The 14,451-nt window shown below is 59.3% G+C and overlaps 1 protein-coding gene across 23 annotated transcripts in view, besides 10 other annotated features; it reads right to left on the bottom strand.

The window, feature by feature from the left end:
* Window positions 1,379–1,673: a silencer, noted in NCBI's record as "tiled region #14438; HepG2 Repressive DNase unmatched - State 25:Art". NCBI's record gives its function as "represses a minimal TATA promoter and a strong SV40 promoter by Sharpr-MPRA in HepG2 cells {active_cell/tissue: HepG2}" and the evidence as "EXISTENCE:reporter gene assay evidence [ECO:0000049][PMID:27701403]".
* Window positions 1,379–1,682: a biological region, named in NCBI's record as "Sharpr-MPRA regulatory region 14438".
* Window positions 1,623–1,682: an enhancer, noted in NCBI's record as "active region_10976". NCBI's record gives its function as "activates an Ori minimal core promoter by ATAC-STARR-seq in GM12878 lymphoblastoid cells {active_cell/tissue: GM12878}" and the evidence as "EXISTENCE:reporter gene assay evidence [ECO:0000049][PMID:35858748]".
* The window catches only part of RIPOR1 (RHO family interacting cell polarization regulator 1), a 28,418-nt gene continuing 15,859 nt past the window's right edge, over window positions 1,893–14,451 (bottom strand). For 5 of the 23 annotated variants that reach the window (XM_047434628.1, XM_047434627.1, XM_047434626.1 and 2 more), the window contains exons 2-22: window positions 10,129–10,255; window positions 9,855–10,019; window positions 9,611–9,689; window positions 8,928–8,951; window positions 8,780–8,833; window positions 8,474–8,626; window positions 8,316–8,379; window positions 8,178–8,221; window positions 7,975–8,127; window positions 7,101–7,249; window positions 6,897–7,026; window positions 5,415–6,812; window positions 5,210–5,331; window positions 4,248–4,380; window positions 3,849–3,984; window positions 3,562–3,723; window positions 3,145–3,303; window positions 2,819–3,015; window positions 2,647–2,730; window positions 2,448–2,538; window positions 1,893–2,313 (exon numbers count right to left, since the gene is read on the bottom strand). In XM_047434628.1, the coding sequence (XP_047290584.1) occupies window positions 2,216–2,313; window positions 2,448–2,538; window positions 2,647–2,730; window positions 2,819–3,015; window positions 3,145–3,303; window positions 3,562–3,723; window positions 3,849–3,984; window positions 4,248–4,380; window positions 5,210–5,331; window positions 5,415–6,812; window positions 6,897–7,026; window positions 7,101–7,249; window positions 7,975–8,127; window positions 8,178–8,221; window positions 8,316–8,379; window positions 8,474–8,626; window positions 8,780–8,833; window positions 8,928–8,951; window positions 9,611–9,689; window positions 9,855–10,019; window positions 10,129–10,232 (3,699 nt within the window). In that variant the 5' untranslated portion in view covers window positions 10,233–10,255 and the 3' untranslated portion in view covers window positions 1,893–2,215. Of the gene's footprint in view, window positions 2,314–2,447; window positions 2,539–2,646; window positions 2,731–2,818; window positions 3,016–3,144; window positions 3,304–3,561; window positions 3,724–3,848; window positions 3,985–4,247; window positions 4,381–5,209; window positions 5,332–5,414; window positions 6,813–6,896; window positions 7,027–7,100; window positions 7,250–7,974; window positions 8,128–8,177; window positions 8,222–8,315; window positions 8,380–8,473; window positions 8,627–8,779; window positions 8,834–8,927; window positions 8,952–9,610; window positions 9,690–9,854; window positions 10,020–10,128; window positions 10,256–11,081; window positions 11,218–14,451 lie in introns of those variants that run through there. The other 18 variants (XM_011523325.3, XM_011523321.2, XM_011523322.2 and 15 more) reach the window with 11 other exon arrangements.
* Window positions 5,878–5,927: a silencer, noted in NCBI's record as "silent region_7613". NCBI's record gives its function as "represses an Ori minimal core promoter by ATAC-STARR-seq in GM12878 lymphoblastoid cells {active_cell/tissue: GM12878}" and the evidence as "EXISTENCE:reporter gene assay evidence [ECO:0000049][PMID:35858748]".
* Window positions 6,118–6,167: an enhancer, noted in NCBI's record as "active region_10975". NCBI's record gives its function as "activates an Ori minimal core promoter by ATAC-STARR-seq in GM12878 lymphoblastoid cells {active_cell/tissue: GM12878}" and the evidence as "EXISTENCE:reporter gene assay evidence [ECO:0000049][PMID:35858748]".
* Window positions 9,974–10,595: an enhancer, noted in NCBI's record as "H3K27ac-H3K4me1 hESC enhancer chr16:67571987-67572608 (GRCh37/hg19 assembly coordinates)". NCBI's record gives its function as "activates a minimal SCP1, AML or CMV promoter by ChIP-STARR-seq in primed H9 embryonic stem cells {active_cell/tissue: H9 hESC(primed)}" and the evidence as "EXISTENCE:reporter gene assay evidence [ECO:0000049][PMID:30033119]".
* Window positions 9,974–10,885: a biological region, named in NCBI's record as "H3K27ac-H3K4me1 hESC enhancer GRCh37_chr16:67571987-67572608".
* Window positions 10,156–10,225: an enhancer, noted in NCBI's record as "active region_10974". NCBI's record gives its function as "activates an Ori minimal core promoter by ATAC-STARR-seq in GM12878 lymphoblastoid cells {active_cell/tissue: GM12878}" and the evidence as "EXISTENCE:reporter gene assay evidence [ECO:0000049][PMID:35858748]".
* Window positions 10,376–10,885: a silencer, noted in NCBI's record as "silent region_7612". NCBI's record gives its function as "represses an Ori minimal core promoter by ATAC-STARR-seq in GM12878 lymphoblastoid cells {active_cell/tissue: GM12878}" and the evidence as "EXISTENCE:reporter gene assay evidence [ECO:0000049][PMID:35858748]".
* Window positions 11,106–11,385: a silencer, noted in NCBI's record as "silent region_7611". NCBI's record gives its function as "represses an Ori minimal core promoter by ATAC-STARR-seq in GM12878 lymphoblastoid cells {active_cell/tissue: GM12878}" and the evidence as "EXISTENCE:reporter gene assay evidence [ECO:0000049][PMID:35858748]".

Below are 14,451 nucleotides of genomic sequence, written 5' to 3'. Positions count from 1 at the left end.
ATAGGCATCATGTGCTTCACCTGGCTGTGCTCACAGTGCCCTCATTCCAGCTCCTGTCCCCTTCCGATCCTCACACCCACCCCTGGCTAGAGCTGAATACTAGGCTCTGGCCTCAGGACTCTGCAGAGCACAGAGTCTAGGGTCTGTCCCTTCCCAGCATTGGAGAGCAGGGATTCTTAGTGACAACGCCAGTGGACCCCTTGGCTGGGATGATGACATTTTTCCATCCTCCATTTCTTGCCCAAGCCCTGCTCTCTCCTGTGTACTGAGCTGTGAGCTCATGCAGGCTCAGTCACCCCCATCTGCACTTTCCCAGGACCTGGTCAACCAGTGTTCACTTCCTCTTCCCCCACCATGACAGGCTATGCTTTTGATGCAGGTGGATAGCCCTGCTCTACCAATGGGCCTCTTGTGGGGGCCTCAGGACTGAGGGCTGCTAGGGGCGGTTCTGGGATTGCCGGCCTCCTCCAGGGACCCCTGGGGCAGGCCCCAGCTGTGGCCAGCCTTGGGTGCTGGCCTGGTCTCCATCATTTGTTTGCCTCCTCTGCCCCATGCTGCTCCAGCTCACCACCCCAAATACTGAGCTGCACCATCCCGTGCCACCCTTCGTTACCCAGAGAGCAAAGAGCCGCGCCAGTGTGCAGAGGGCTGCCTGCCTGCCCCTGCCCACCCTCGCCCCAGCGTCTGGAATGAGCCACTTGCATCCACACAGGTGCTTCCTGTGCTTCTTCCTGTTGCCGTTTTTTCTGCTCAGCTTGGCTTCCCCAGCAGGTGGTTAAAGCCCCAGCCAAACCTCTTCATACCTAGCTCTAAAACACTGGGGGGCAGGGCTCCCTGGGGATCTGGGTCACCCTCCAGAGGACTGTTGGCACTTCACTGGCTCTTCCTGAGGGCAGGCTCCCCAACGTGACACGTCCTGCACAGGCCAAGCTGCTGCCACAGGTACTGGGACATCAGAGTGGCCTCAATGAGTCAGGGAAGTGCTGCGTATGCACCACCTCCTTGCCCCTGGATACTGGAAGTGCTGAGGGAGAGGGGAAGGGTGGAGAGCCTGTTTCTCTAGCCACGGGTGTGGGCCTCCCTCAGCCCCTCCTTAGAACAGGCCTGCCATCCTGAAGTCCCACCCCACACTCCAGTTCCTCACGCAGGACTCAGCCTTCTGGGGTTAACACATTCACTGGCCAGGCAGCTCTGGGGCAAGGCGAGGCGGGGCAAAGGCAAGCCCTCTCCTGGGATCTCTGCTTCCTGAAGCAGCACAGGTTGGCCGGCTGTTGGGGATCACAGAGTTCAGGCACGTTTGTTATTATAGAGGGGGAGACAGCTGGAGAGGGAAGGGACTTGCTGTCTTGGGTCACAGGTTAGCCATCCAGGTCTCCTGCCTCCCAGGTCCCAGCTCTTCCCCTCCGCAAGGAGCTCCTCTCCCCTGCCATCCAGCTTCAAGGAGCTCCTTCAGCCCCCTCTGCAGAAAGCTGCCCAGGCTGCAGAAGACCCAAACCTGGCATCTGCTGACGCGGATCTGCTGCCCCCTGGTGGGCAGAAGCTCCAGCCACCCCGTGCCTCCTTTCCCTTCCTGTTTTTCCTTTCCCTTCCCCTTTGCTCCCAGGCCACAGCCTGGGATTGGCACCCTTTGGTGTTTTCTGGGCCAACTCCAGTTTAGCTCCACCTTGGGCCGTAGTTCCCAGGCCCAGGGTAGGCCCCACCTGCAGGCTGAACCACCCTTTTCCCCTGCTCTCTTCTCCAAGCCCAGTTCCAGCCTCTGGGCTTTCTTCCACCTGAATTTCCAGGGCAAGTGCACATGGCACTGTCACAGCTGCAGTGTGAACACACCAGTGTCAGGCAGGGCCACAGCCAGAGGGTGTTGGAGCAGAGGGTCAGGAGTGTACCAGGCCATGTAGGAAAGACATTTTGCTTTTTTATTTTCTGTAAAACTCTGTAAATAAAATACAAAACCAAGGGATGTGGCTGGGCAGCGGCAGGGTGGCCAAGCCCCAGACACTGATTTGTGGCAAGGGATGTGCTGAGCCGAGGCTGGGAGGCACTTGACTGCAGGCACTGACTCTCCAACCCCAGGGGCAACAGAAGAATATATTAGATTTTCATTGCTAGGAATCTGTGGGGGAGGGGTATCTGGAGCCAGCCCTTACCCTCCCTGCCAGTGCCTGGTGAGCCCTGAAAGTGGGGGGAAAGGGGCACCAGGAACCCATGGGTGAATAGTTTAGAATGCTGTGCTGGCCATGCTGCCAGGCCCAAAGATGCGGGGCAGGGCGTCCAGGGACTCCTCCAGCCGTCGATGGGCAGACTGTCCCTCTTCTCCTGTAATGAGTGAGGATGAGGTCAAGGGTGGCCCTAGCCCCATCCCACTCTCCCACCCCTGGCGCCATCTCTCCTACTCCCATCAGCCAAGATGTCCCAGAACTCCACCCATCTCTTCCATCCCCCAGCCTCACCACACTGCTGTAGGCTTTGCCGGGCAGCTTCCCTCACAGCTTCTGTGTCAGTTTGGCAGAGGTACACCAGGGGCTCAATGCCCTCGGGAGCCTGTCAGGGGAGGGAGCATTGAGGTGGGCTCAGGGGAGCAGATGGGAGGGTTTCAGGGGTGGGGGTGCCGGAAGCGGACAGAGGGGTGGGAGGGTTGGCAGGGGTCACCTTGATGCAGCCTAGGGCCAGGCAGCCAGCCACTCGAGTCTGCACGTCCTCATCCTCCAGCTGGTCCAGGAAGCACAGGAGGGCCTGTGGAAGGGTGGGAGGACAGACTTAGCCAGACAGTGGGAGTCCAGGACCCCAGCCCTCGCCCTCAAGGGAGCCCTGTCCAACTCACCCTCTCCCGGAAGGTAGGGCCCAGTGACAGGCTCCGGAGCTGGGTGCTGACAGCAGCCATGACCTTGTTGTTGCCATGGACGAGCAGGGAGCTGAGGGCCCGCAGCCCGTCCCTTCGCAGACGCCCCTCGGGCGCCAATCTCAGGGCCTTCAGCACAACAGCCTGATCATCCGAGTTCAGATTCCGCACCAGTAGCACTGAAAAAAGGGGATATGGTGGGTGGGTGGGCAAGGTGGCAGGGTGAGGAGCCCCCGAGGTTGGGGAGGGCTTGTCCTCATGTCCTCAGACCCCAAGAGGCCACTATGTGATCAGGGCCACCGCCTCACCCTCCTCAGCGGTCTCAGTCACGTAGGCCTCCATGGTGGGGCTGTCCAAGGTTTCCACAAAACTCCAGAACTGGAAGACTGTGAGCTGCTCTCCAGGCCCTGGCTGGGGCCTTCTGGGCAGCTTCTGCCCCAGGGCATCCTCCAGGAACTTCACACACACTGCAGGAGGCAGTAGCATGGGCCTCAGAGTTTGGGTGAACACAGCTTTTAGAGGGGAGAGATGCTCCTATCCCAGGCTCAGGTCCAGGGGCCCCCTGTTCAAACCCCACCCATCTGGGTCCTTCTGCTCTAAGGCCCAAGTCTTTGCTGGTCTCCTCGGTGCCCAGTTCGTTTATCTGTGTGGGCTGACCTGGCTTCCCCGAGCTTCCTGTCACTGGGAATCTGAGCAAGGGTGGAAGGAGGAAGCAGCCCACTCACCAGCCTCAGCCAAGCCTGGCTGGCGCAGGGAGAGGCGGGCACCATACTGGTTGCAGAAGGTGAGAAGCACCCGCTCCACCGGGCAGAGGAAGCAGCTGAGTCTCTCTGTGCACTGGTCCCAGAAGGTCAGGAAGCCAGGCCGAGAGGCCGAGAACTGCACCACTGTGAGGGGGTGAGGGAAACCGTCAGCAACAGGCAGGCAGGTGAGTAGAGAGCATGCAGATGGCAGTAGGCTGAGGTAGGAGCTTCAAGGCAGATGGCAGAGCCCGAACCCCCAGGGCCTTTACCTTCCTGGGCAGAGCTGGCCGGGATCTCCCACCGCCTGCTGAACTCGCATACTGCCTCCAGTACTCGGGCTTCCCGCAGCAGCCGCTCCAGGGCCCATGCCTCCTGGCAGCGCAGGGGCCCAAATGTGCCCAGTTTCTGGAGAACATGGGTGGCCAAGTAGCTCAGGCCTCAGGGTAGGGCTCGGGAGGATCGTGCTCAGGGACAAGTCCCAGCATGCACTGGGGGAGGTTGGGGTTGCAGAGTTGGGAGATACTCCATTCAGCAAGGGCCAGATGCCAAGGGCCCTGGGGCACTGGGGTGTGGCACTCAGAGGAGGTATAGAGGACCAGGATGGAAGGGCAGGACTCCCTGGGGTTAGGGGTTACAAAGGAAGGGTGGGGGAACACCATCAGCCTCACCAGCAGGAGGCGACTGCAGTGGTACAGGTGCCGGACCAAGGCAGCATCCAGAGCTGGACACCCCGTGCTGAGGGGGCGGGCACTGGGTGAGTCTATGCTGTCCTCAGCCCCAGCCTCCGGGCTGCTTGGAGGCCTGAGGGAAAAATGGGGTCCACCACCCCACAGGCACACATCACCACCTGGTCACCAGCGTTTATTTTTATTAAGCTTCCCCCATGCCAGAAAGGAAGAAGATGATGCACCGACAGCAGACAGTGGGGTAAGTTCATGGAGGATTTCCAGAAGGAGGAAGGGGCTGGGACCAGCAGGTGGTAGTAGGGATCTCTGGAGTCAGTCTGCGCCATGCTACCTCCAGCTGGGACCACTGGGGATGGCATGGGTAGGAGTAGGCTGCAGGCGGGATGGTTTATGACAAGTGGACTGCAAAGGGTGCAGGGCATGGGGCTGTAGCCTGGGCAGCAGCAGAGGAAGGAGGGACCTGGCACAACTCTCAACTGGGAACCAGCAAAGGCCACTCCAGGACTGACAGTTGAGGGGCCAGGGCCTCTGGGAGAGTCGGGGTTGAGAAGGAGTGGGGCAGTGCTGGGGTCCCAGGGTGCACGGCGAGACACTGAGAGAGCTCCTTAAAGGGCAGGTCCAAGGTGAGGCCAAGGGGAAGAGGAGGGGCTGGAGGCACCCAAGCTGATGGGGACCGGCAGGGGAGGCAGACATTGCAGAGATGAAGAGGGCGGTCAGAAGCACTGGGGACACACGTAGGGTTGGAGACATGGGCATGAAGGACATGGGAGGGGTGGACACAGGTGCACCTGCCAGCAACTCAGTCCTCACATGCTCCACCTGGCCCTGCCTCACCTGTCCTGTCCTTTGACTTTCTCCCAATTCACCTGTTCCACCTTCCCCTGGTCCTGCCTCACCTTTTCCCTCTCACCTAGCCTCACACCCATCTTGCCTAGCCCCCTCACCTGTCCCCAGGAACATCATTGTCTTCATCTTCGTCTTCATTGAGGAAGCTGAAGCTCTCCAAGGCATGCTCCACAGTGATGCTGAGACTGGAGGCCCGGCTGCGAGTCAGACCTTGTCTCTGCTGAGGTTGTGAAGGGCATCAGAGCGGCTGCCGCCCCCTGGCTGCCCTCCCTGGTTGCCCTAGCCCAGCCCAGCCCTCCTCACCATGAGCAGACTTTCTAGGCGGGTCACCTCCTGCTCCAGGCCCTGCAGCTCAGGAAACTGGCCACGGTAGTCATCCAGGGCAGCCATTAGGGCCCCCAGTGCCTCCTCCAGGCTCCTGTCCCCAGACCCTCCGGCTGCCGTTGGGACTGGGGTCTGGACAGCCATGGCCAGGCAAAGGTCTGAATGCTGGGGTGCAGGGGTTGGGGGTGAGGGAGTGGGGCTTAGACTCTGAACCGTAGACTCTGAGGGATCTGGGGCAGGGCTTGTGAGGGGTTTCCTACTGGAATGGGCAGGACTTGGGTGGGGAGTTCTGGGGGCCATAGGGTCTGCCTGAGTGTAGGAATTGGAGACTGGGGGACTACAGGGAAGGGAGTCAGTGCCTGGGAGGGTGGGGTCTGAGTGTTTGGAGGGGCTGGAGAGGGTAGCAAGTTCTAGAGAAGTGGAAGGGCTTACATTTATAAGGATGGGGCTTGTGGTGGGATGGGTGGGGCTTGTGGTAGGATGGGTGGGACTTGTGGCAGTCTGGACTAGGCCCATACCACTGGGGGTAGGACTTGTAGTGGTGGGAGGTGACATACTGGTTTTGTGGGTGGGACTTGTGGGGGTATGGGTGGGGCTTGTGGAAGTATGAGTGGGGCTTGCTGTGGTATGGGTAGGGCTTGGCATAGTGTGGGTGGGGCTTGTGGTAGTCTGGACTGGGCCTATGATATTGAGGGTAGGGCCTGTAGTAGTAAGGGTAGAGATTATGGGCTTGTGGGTGGAGCCTGTAGTAGTGTGAGTGAGGGGGCTTGGAGCACTGTGGGTAGTGGTAATGGCACTATAGGTAGAGCCTGTAGTGGTGTGAGTGGGGCCTGGCAGTTCTGAAGGGCCAGAGTCTGTGGACTTATGAACTGAGTCTAGGTGTGCAGATGGGGCAGGGTCTGTAGATGTGGGGACAGAGCCTGTTGTACCGAGGGTAGAGCTTGTGGCAGAGTGGCCAGGGTCCAGGGCAGGAGGAACAGGACTGGGGTGCTCTCCATGGGTGGGAGCTGGGTGTGTAGGTGGGCTAGGTCCCCAGGCTAGGCTTTCTGGGCCAACGGCCTCCACTGAAGCCTCAGCCAAGGCAGCATCTACACTAGCCTCACTGATGTGGCTCAGAGTCCGACTGTAGGGTGCATGCCCATTTGCCAGGACTGGGGCCACGGCCCCCTCCTCATCCAAGGGCCCAGAGCTGGGGGTCTCAGGCCTGCGGAAGGCAACTTGGATGGGAAGGGGCTCGGGCTGCTGCACCAGGGGCCTAGGGGCTGGTGAGTGGCGGGCAGTGCCTGAGAGCTGTGGGCTGGATGAGTCGTCTGAAGATTCAGATGACAGGGACCATGCTGTCCCATTCTCCAGCTCCTCCTGCCGTCGCAGCATGTTCTGAGAAAGAGGAGAGGGCATTTCAGAACCACCCCCAGGGAGCCTCTGGGGGATGGTGAGGCCTGGACCTGGGCTATGACTCACATAGAAAGCCTGTTCCCGAAGTGAGGGTGTGTCCGGTGGGCTCTGGCTATAGGTGGAGAAGCGCTTGGTGACTGTGGAGGCCTTGTTGACAGAAGAAGCAGCTGAGGGCTGGTCATCCTTGTCGAAGGGGCTGGGAAGGGAAGAGGCTGTTGGCAGGTGCCACAGCCCTCCTGGCCCTCCTCCAAGCCTCTCAGCCCCACCAACCTCCATGTGACTTCCAGGCTGAGCTTGATGGTACCAAGGTCATTGATATCCACAGCCACAACCTGGGGCAGGGCGGCAAACAGGTCCTTGGTCTCACAGGAGACACTGCCCACAACCACATGGTTGGCCAGGCCCTTCAGTTCTGTCACCTGTAGCCAAGAGTGCATGGTAGGGTCACAAGGGTGCAGGGGCTATGAGATCATGGGAAATCTGAGGTCTGAATTTGCATAGAACTTATAAAATGGTCATGGGAGGCTGAGGCAGGAGGATCACTTAAGGCCAGGAGTTCAAGACCAGCTTGGGCAACATGGCAAGACTCTGTCTCAAAAAAAAAAAAAAAAAAAATTTTTAGCCAGGCATGGTGGTGCACCTGTAGTCCCAGCTACTTGGGAGGCTGAAGTGGGAGGATGGGTTGAGCCCAGGAGTTTGAGACTGCAGTGAGGTATGATTGCACTGCTGCACTCCAACCTGGGTGACAGAGTGAGACCCGCCAACTCCTAGATAGATAGACAGACACATGCATGCTCATGGAGCCATGGATGCTTGAAGCAGCCTGGGAGCATGGGAATCACAGAGGTCTGCATGGTAGGGTCACTGAGGTCATAGAGGTCACAGCCTCATGGGAGCTTAGGAGGTCAAATATTCACAGGGTCAGAAGATCATGAGGAGGTCACAGGGTCAGGAAGCCATGATGTCCTAAGAGTCACAAAGATTGTTCCTCTCAGGGCCACAGAGATCATGAAGGTCATGGAATCATATCTTCACAGGGCTATGGAGCTATGAGGGGATCACAGGAGTAAGGGACTCAGGGTAATGGGGGTCACAAGGGGTTCACAGGGCCATGGTGGCCTGCCGTCCTGGGCAGAGACATCACCTTAATAGACAGAAATTCCGTGAGTAGAGGGAGAAAGATGGTTTCTTCACTGTCCCACACCTGCTTTCCACTACCCTCAATTCGGCCCCGTAGTTTCCAGCGCTGACGCCCATATTTCATGCAGATCTGGGGGAACAGGTAGGATGAGGCAGCCTAGGTGTTGGGACCCTACCGACCCAGCCCTTCCCTGCACATTCTCATACCTCATACTGATCGCCTACACACAGCCTGGCGAAGCCAGCCAGCCCTGAGTTGGAGGAGAAGGGGAGAAGTCGGTGAGCCATATTGGGGTTCTTCAGCATACTCCCTCCAGCCCCCCACCTGCCCCCACAACTCAGTACCTTTCATTCGGAGATGAAACTCGCCCAGCTGTGCCTCCAGCTCGCTCTCCAGCAGACACATGCTCTGGGAGGGAGGGGCAGGGACAGGAGGGGGTCAAGGGCCAGCCACTAGCCCTGCCACACCCTGTGCCTCTGCCTCATGGGCCCCCATCCCTCACCTCCGTGTACTCGCGATGCCCCCGAGTGGCCTCTGCCAGGCTGTCCCGGGCCTCTCGGCTTCCCGGGGACCCAGTGGTGTAGGCACGGACCATGTTGTAGGCACCATCCCGGAGACGCCGCTGGACACAGTATGCCTCATACAGCTCATCGATCTGGGAAGGTGAGTGGGGTGACAGTAGGGGGACTGAGACTCACCTCTGGGGTTACTCACCTCTAAGGTTGCTCACCCAGGGCCTGGCACCACCCCTCTTCTCCCTATGATATCCAACCCCCCACCCCACTCTGCACACATGCTGCACTCGTACCTTGCTGGCATGGAACTCCAGTCGTCGCAGGAAGCGTTCAATGGACTTGACTTGCTGGGGGAGAGGTGGGTCAGGAGGGGCCTGAGGCCCAGGGTCCTTACCCTCCCTGTGAGCCAACCCCTTCCAGTACCATTCCATGCATACTCACCTTGTCCAGATCATACAGGAAGCCCTGCAGGGGTGGGGAGAAGGGGCAAATATTTAGGAGGGATGAGGAGGACTCCAGCAGAGGCACTCAGACTCGTCACAGCTCCCCTTTCTCACACCACAGTCCACAAGCACTCCTGTCACAGTAGCAACTGACGCCCCTTCCTGCTGGTCTAGCCCTTGGTGGATGCTGGTAGCACAGATCTGGTCCCTTCAGCCCCCTCCAGGACCCCTCCTTCCACCTCTTCCCTGGGATTCCTTTTCCTGCAGCCGCCTGGGGAGAGCTCTCTGCTTCCTTGTGCAAGGTTCCCTCTGCAGGGGAACTCCCATCAAGCCCCGGCAGAAGTGTTCCCTCCTCCAGGAAGCCCTAACCTCTTCCCAAGAAGCACCATGCAGCAGTACCACTGCTCAGTACCACTGCAGCAGAATCTCCTGCTGTCCATGTCTGTAGGGGTCCCACCTACCCCACTGGAAGCTCCTGGAGCAGGTACTGAGTCCCAAGCAGAAAGTATGCACAGCAAAGTTTGGGGATAGAAAAGCCCCTCAGCCTTTCCTGATATCCCCTTTTCTACTCACACCTGAACCAGATCACTTCAGAAAATAGCCCAGATATCACCCAGGGCTGCCCTTGCCCAGCCCTCCACACCAAAGAGGCAAAGGGCATCCGTACCTCCCGCCACTCACCAAGCGGGAATTCCTCTTGGACTCCCTTATCTGCCCCTGGAGTTTCTCTTGCTCCTGCTGGTGCACTTCCAAGTAGGCCCTGAGGAAAGGGGCGACCACAAGAATGAACTCGGCTCTCCAGCCTCATGCTGCCCAGGGTGCAGACAGCAGGGAGAGGGCATGGGGCTGGAGAAGGTTCCTGCTAGCAGGATGCGGGCTTGGGGAGGGATCCCGGGACAGGGCTGGGAACAGAGGAGCTGCTCACGTCAGGCCCCGCTTCAGCGCCGTGTACACCAGGTCCAGCCGCTCGGGCTGCGGCACCTTGGCGGCTGGGTGAGCCACGGAAAACATCCTGGACACTCGGGAGAGCGCGGGGGGCTTCCGTGGGGGCCCCGGCGGGCTGAAGACCGGGAAACTCCTGAAGGAGAGGCTGTCCTCAGAAAGAGGAGAGCAGGAGTCCCCCAGACTCTCACTACGCACCCCCAGACCCAGCCCCATCTGACGCCCTTTGACCCCACCAACCCTGCGCGGCCGCGTACCTGGGCCCCCGCTCGTGGCTGCCGAGGACGCCTGCGAAGGACTGGCTCCTATTGACCCGGGCGCTGAGCAGACGGCGCTGCGGCCGCACCGACAGGGACATCATAGAGTGAGTCCGCGCGGGGCTCCCTGCGGGTGATCGGGGGGGTGTCCAGTACCAGTCGGATCCCCGAAGCCCTCTCCCACGCAGCGGGATCCAGGGCTGGCGCAGGTCTTTCCTGTCGCTAGGCACAGCTGCCCCAGCGGGCTCCGGCCGGGTCCGCCTAGTCCCGCCGACCCGGGCACTAATGACAGGACAGCCGCAGGCGACTCGGCCTCGGACTCAGCGTGGCCTCGGCTCGGCCCCCACTTCCTGCCGAGGTGCGGGCTCCGCCTGCCGCGGGGCAGGAAGGGGGGTCGCGCGGGGACCCTCCTCCGGCTGGGAAGGGGCAGGAAAGGGGCGGCGCGCGCGAAGAATGTGCGGAAGCGCCTGTTTACCCGGGGGCGGGGCAGCCTCCCCAGCCCTGCCCCCGATTTCCCCCCCCAGGGCACCCGGAGCTCGGGGCCCCCCACCCCGGGAGCCCAAGGAGGTCACGGGGCGGGGCGGGGCCACGCTCGGAGCCCTGCGGAGCTGCCCGACAGGCCCAGCCGGTGCGGGTTTGTCGCCCGCCCCCCGCCTGCCAGCGTGACCTGCTGCCCCCAGCCCCCACCGGCCCGGGCGTCCCGGCGCCCTCCAGGCAGGGGGATTCCCAGAGCTGGGCGCGATGCCGAGAAGGGCCCCGCCCCCTCCTCTTTCCTGAGGCTCCCACCTGGAAACTGAGTCACGGACGTGCGCCTCCACCCCGGCATCGGCGGGGAGAGCTCCTCGGCAGACCCCCACCCCGCTTCGGCGAAACACACACTCCTGGCCCCCAAACCCGGCCTGCTTCCCCTGGGGCCAGTCCCTGAGCTTTCGCAGCCCCGAGCTGGGTCCTACCTCTCTTCTTGGTGTTCATGGTGGGTCCGGGACGGCCCCCGACCCGCGCTCGCCCCCCGCGGACCTTCCGGCCCTGGCCACTTCGAGCCGCCCGGCTGGGCTCCGGGCTCGCTCCCAGCGGCTCTGGCTCGGCTTCGGCTCCTCCCGGCGCCGCCCCCCGCCCAGTTCCTGCCGCCTGACTCAGCCCGCCTGGATGGGGCGGGACCGGTGACTGGGGTTCCCCTCGGGGAGGGGACCGACGGGGGGCGAGGGGTCTGCTCAGCTGGGGTCAGCAATGTGCGTAAAGGGATTTGAGCATGGGGATGAATATGAAGGGATAGAATGGAGACGCTAAGTGGAGGAAGTATCAGACATTAGAGTAGGGGGCTTAAAGAGTCGCTATTGAGGCCGGGCACAGTGGCTCACGCCTGTAATCTCAGCACTTTGGGAGGCCGAGGCGGGCGGATCACGAGGTCAGGAATTCGAGATCAGCCTGACCAACAAGGTGAAACCCCGTCTCTACTAAAAATACAAAAATTAGCCGGACATGGTGACGCGCGCCTGTAATCCCAGCTACTCAGGAGGCTGAGACAGGAGAATCGCTTGAACCCGGGAGGTGGCGCCACTGCACTCCAGCCTGGGCGACAGAGCGAGACTCCGTCTCCCCCAAAAAAGAGTGGCTGTTGAGCAGTGCTAAGGCTGAACACACAGAGGGCTGAGAGCTGGGGTTCTAAGTGTGAGAAGGTGGATAGTAGGGGGCTGAAGAGTGGAAAGATGGGCTAAGGGTGCTGATTGGAGGGGCTGTGCCAATGGAGGGCGGAGAGTTAGGGCACTGATCACCAGGGGACTGAGGCTGAGAAGAGAGGCTGAAAGTGTGAGGCTAGATCCACCCCATAGTGTGTGCTGCTGCGCCAAGAGAGATGCAGAGAAGGAACTGGATGCAGAGTCCCACAGCCCCATGCACCACCCCATCCCTACTCCCACAGAGGGAGTGCTCAGCCTGAGCACTCCCCTCTTCCCAGGACCCAGGGGAAAGGATCAGGTCTGGCTGCCAGCCAGGGCCTCCTCCCTAGTCAAGCTGCATCCTAGGCTAATGCCCCATCCTTCCTGCCCCCAGCTCACATGGGCCTCTCAGGTTCTGCGTTCCCATCCTGATCCCCATCCCCAGTACCTCTCTTTTTTTTTCTGTGTCTCCCAAGCTGTAGTGCAGTGGCACGATCTTGGCTCACTGCAACCTCTGCCTCTCAGATTCAAGCGATTCTCCTGCCTCAGGCTCCCAAATAGCTGGTATTACAAACACCCGCCACTATGCCTGGCTAATGTTTGTATTTTTAATAGAGACGGGGTTTCACCATGTTGGCCAGGCTGGTCTTGAACCCCTGACCTCAAGTGATCAGCCTGCCTCATTCTCCCAAAGTGCTGGGATTACAGGCATGAGCCACCGCGCCCAGCCTATCTCTTCTTTGAATATCCCATGTCCACCTCTAGCCTGGATAGATGCCACCATGCCCATCCCTCCCTTGACCTTGGAGGGGCTGGATGCTCCCCCATCCCATAAACACTCTTGCTCCTTGAGGCTCAGTTCTCCCATACTGTGCTTACTTTCTCCCCAAAAGGCTGGGTTGGGCCCAGGGGTCTGCATTTCCACAAGTTCCCCCTCCCCCCGACAGATTCAGATGCAAGAGGTCCAGGGACCTCAGTTTGAGATATGTTATTCTCCCCTCCTCCTTGAAGGCGAAGCCTGGGTACCCTGCACCCTACACTGGTGACCTGTGCATTCCCATGGATTGCCTGCCTATCGCTGGCCTCTCTGGTCCCTTCAGCCATCCCCAGCCTTATCACCTGCCTTTGGAATGCCCCCCTCCTAAACCACAACCACACTGATGCAACCCTCAGGCTTTCCATCACCCCCACCTCACCTGCCTTTTACCTGAGACCTCTGGCCCCTTGAGCCCTCACCCATTTATTCACCTATTCACTGAGTGGCAACCTTGTGCCAAGCATGTGCCAGTCACTGGAGATACAGCCCAGAATTTCACAGACACCACCCTGTGCAGAGCTCACAGTCCGCCTCTGCTTTCTTTTTTTCTGCTAGCTCCCTCCTACCTTCTCTTCTGTACCTTCCCTGCACAGCCTCCTCCCCAGCCTGGATCCACAGCCACCATCCCATCACTTGCCTGCTGCAAGTATCCTCAGCACTGCGCACCTCTCTCCCAGCTGGCAGAAACCAGCCCTGGGGAATCCAACTCCTGGACTTCTCTACACCTGCACACAGGTTGGCAGGAGTTGCCAGAGGTCTTGGCACAGCAGCCTGGCTGGAATCACAGAGCAATCCTCAACCTTGGCCAGGCCCTCACTGCCCACCTGGCAAATCCTCAAGTGTGACCCTAGTCATCTTTCTCCTTTTGGGGTGTTTCAGACTTTCTCCACAAGTCTCAGACAAGCTCAAGTCACTCCCACATGAAAAATAAAAACGGGCTGGGTGTGGTGGTTCATGCCTATAATCCCAACACTTTGGGAGGCAGAGGTGGGTGGATCACTTGAGGTCAGGAGTTCGAGACCAGCTTGGCCAACATGGTGAAACCCCATCTCTGCTAAAAATACAAAAATTAGCTGGGCTTGGTCGTGCACGCCTGTAGTGCCAGCTACCTGGGCGGCTGAGGCAGGAGGATCGCTTGAACCTGGGACGCAGAGGCTGCAGAGAGCTGCTATCATGCCACTGCACTCCAGGCTGGGTGACAGAGCGGGAGTCTGTCTCAAAAAAAAAAAAAAAAAAAAAAAAAGAAAAAAAGAAAACCCTAGAAACTGTCCAGATGCCTGTCAATGAATAATGGAATTACCACATAGCAAAAAGAATGAAAAATATACAGTGACATGCAACAATATGGGTGGATCTGAGAGCAAACCCAAGAGAGGACAAATGTATGACCTTGATAATAAGTTCAAAAGCAAGCAAAACTAATCTATGGTGATAGAAGTCAGCCTGGGAGTCTCCCTCCAGGTGTTGTGACTGAAGAGGCCACAAGGGTCTTCCAGGGTGCTGGTAATGTCCTATTTCCTGCTCTGGGTTAAATTTCCTGATTCTATATGAGTGTGTTCTCTTATGAAAATGTACAGAGTTGTACACTTAGGACATACACACTTTTTGTGTGCCTATTATATTTCAATGTAAAATTGGTTGTAAATAATTACAAAATGTTGGGCCGGTGCGGTGGCTTACGCCTGTAATCCTAGCACTTTGGGAGGCTGAGGCAGGTGGATCACTGAGGCTAGGAGTTTGAGACCAGCCTGGCCAACATGGTGAAACCCTGACTCTATTAAAAATACAAAAATTAGCCAGGTGTGGTGGCATGGCCTGTAGTCCCACCTACTCGGGAGGCTGAGGCATGAG

The sequence above is a fragment of the Homo sapiens genome, chromosome 16, assembly GCF_000001405.40.
Source record: "Homo sapiens chromosome 16, GRCh38.p14 Primary Assembly".
NCBI lineage: Eukaryota > Metazoa > Chordata > Mammalia > Primates > Hominidae > Homo > Homo sapiens.
This window is presented reverse-complemented; position numbering and strand designations above follow the sequence as displayed.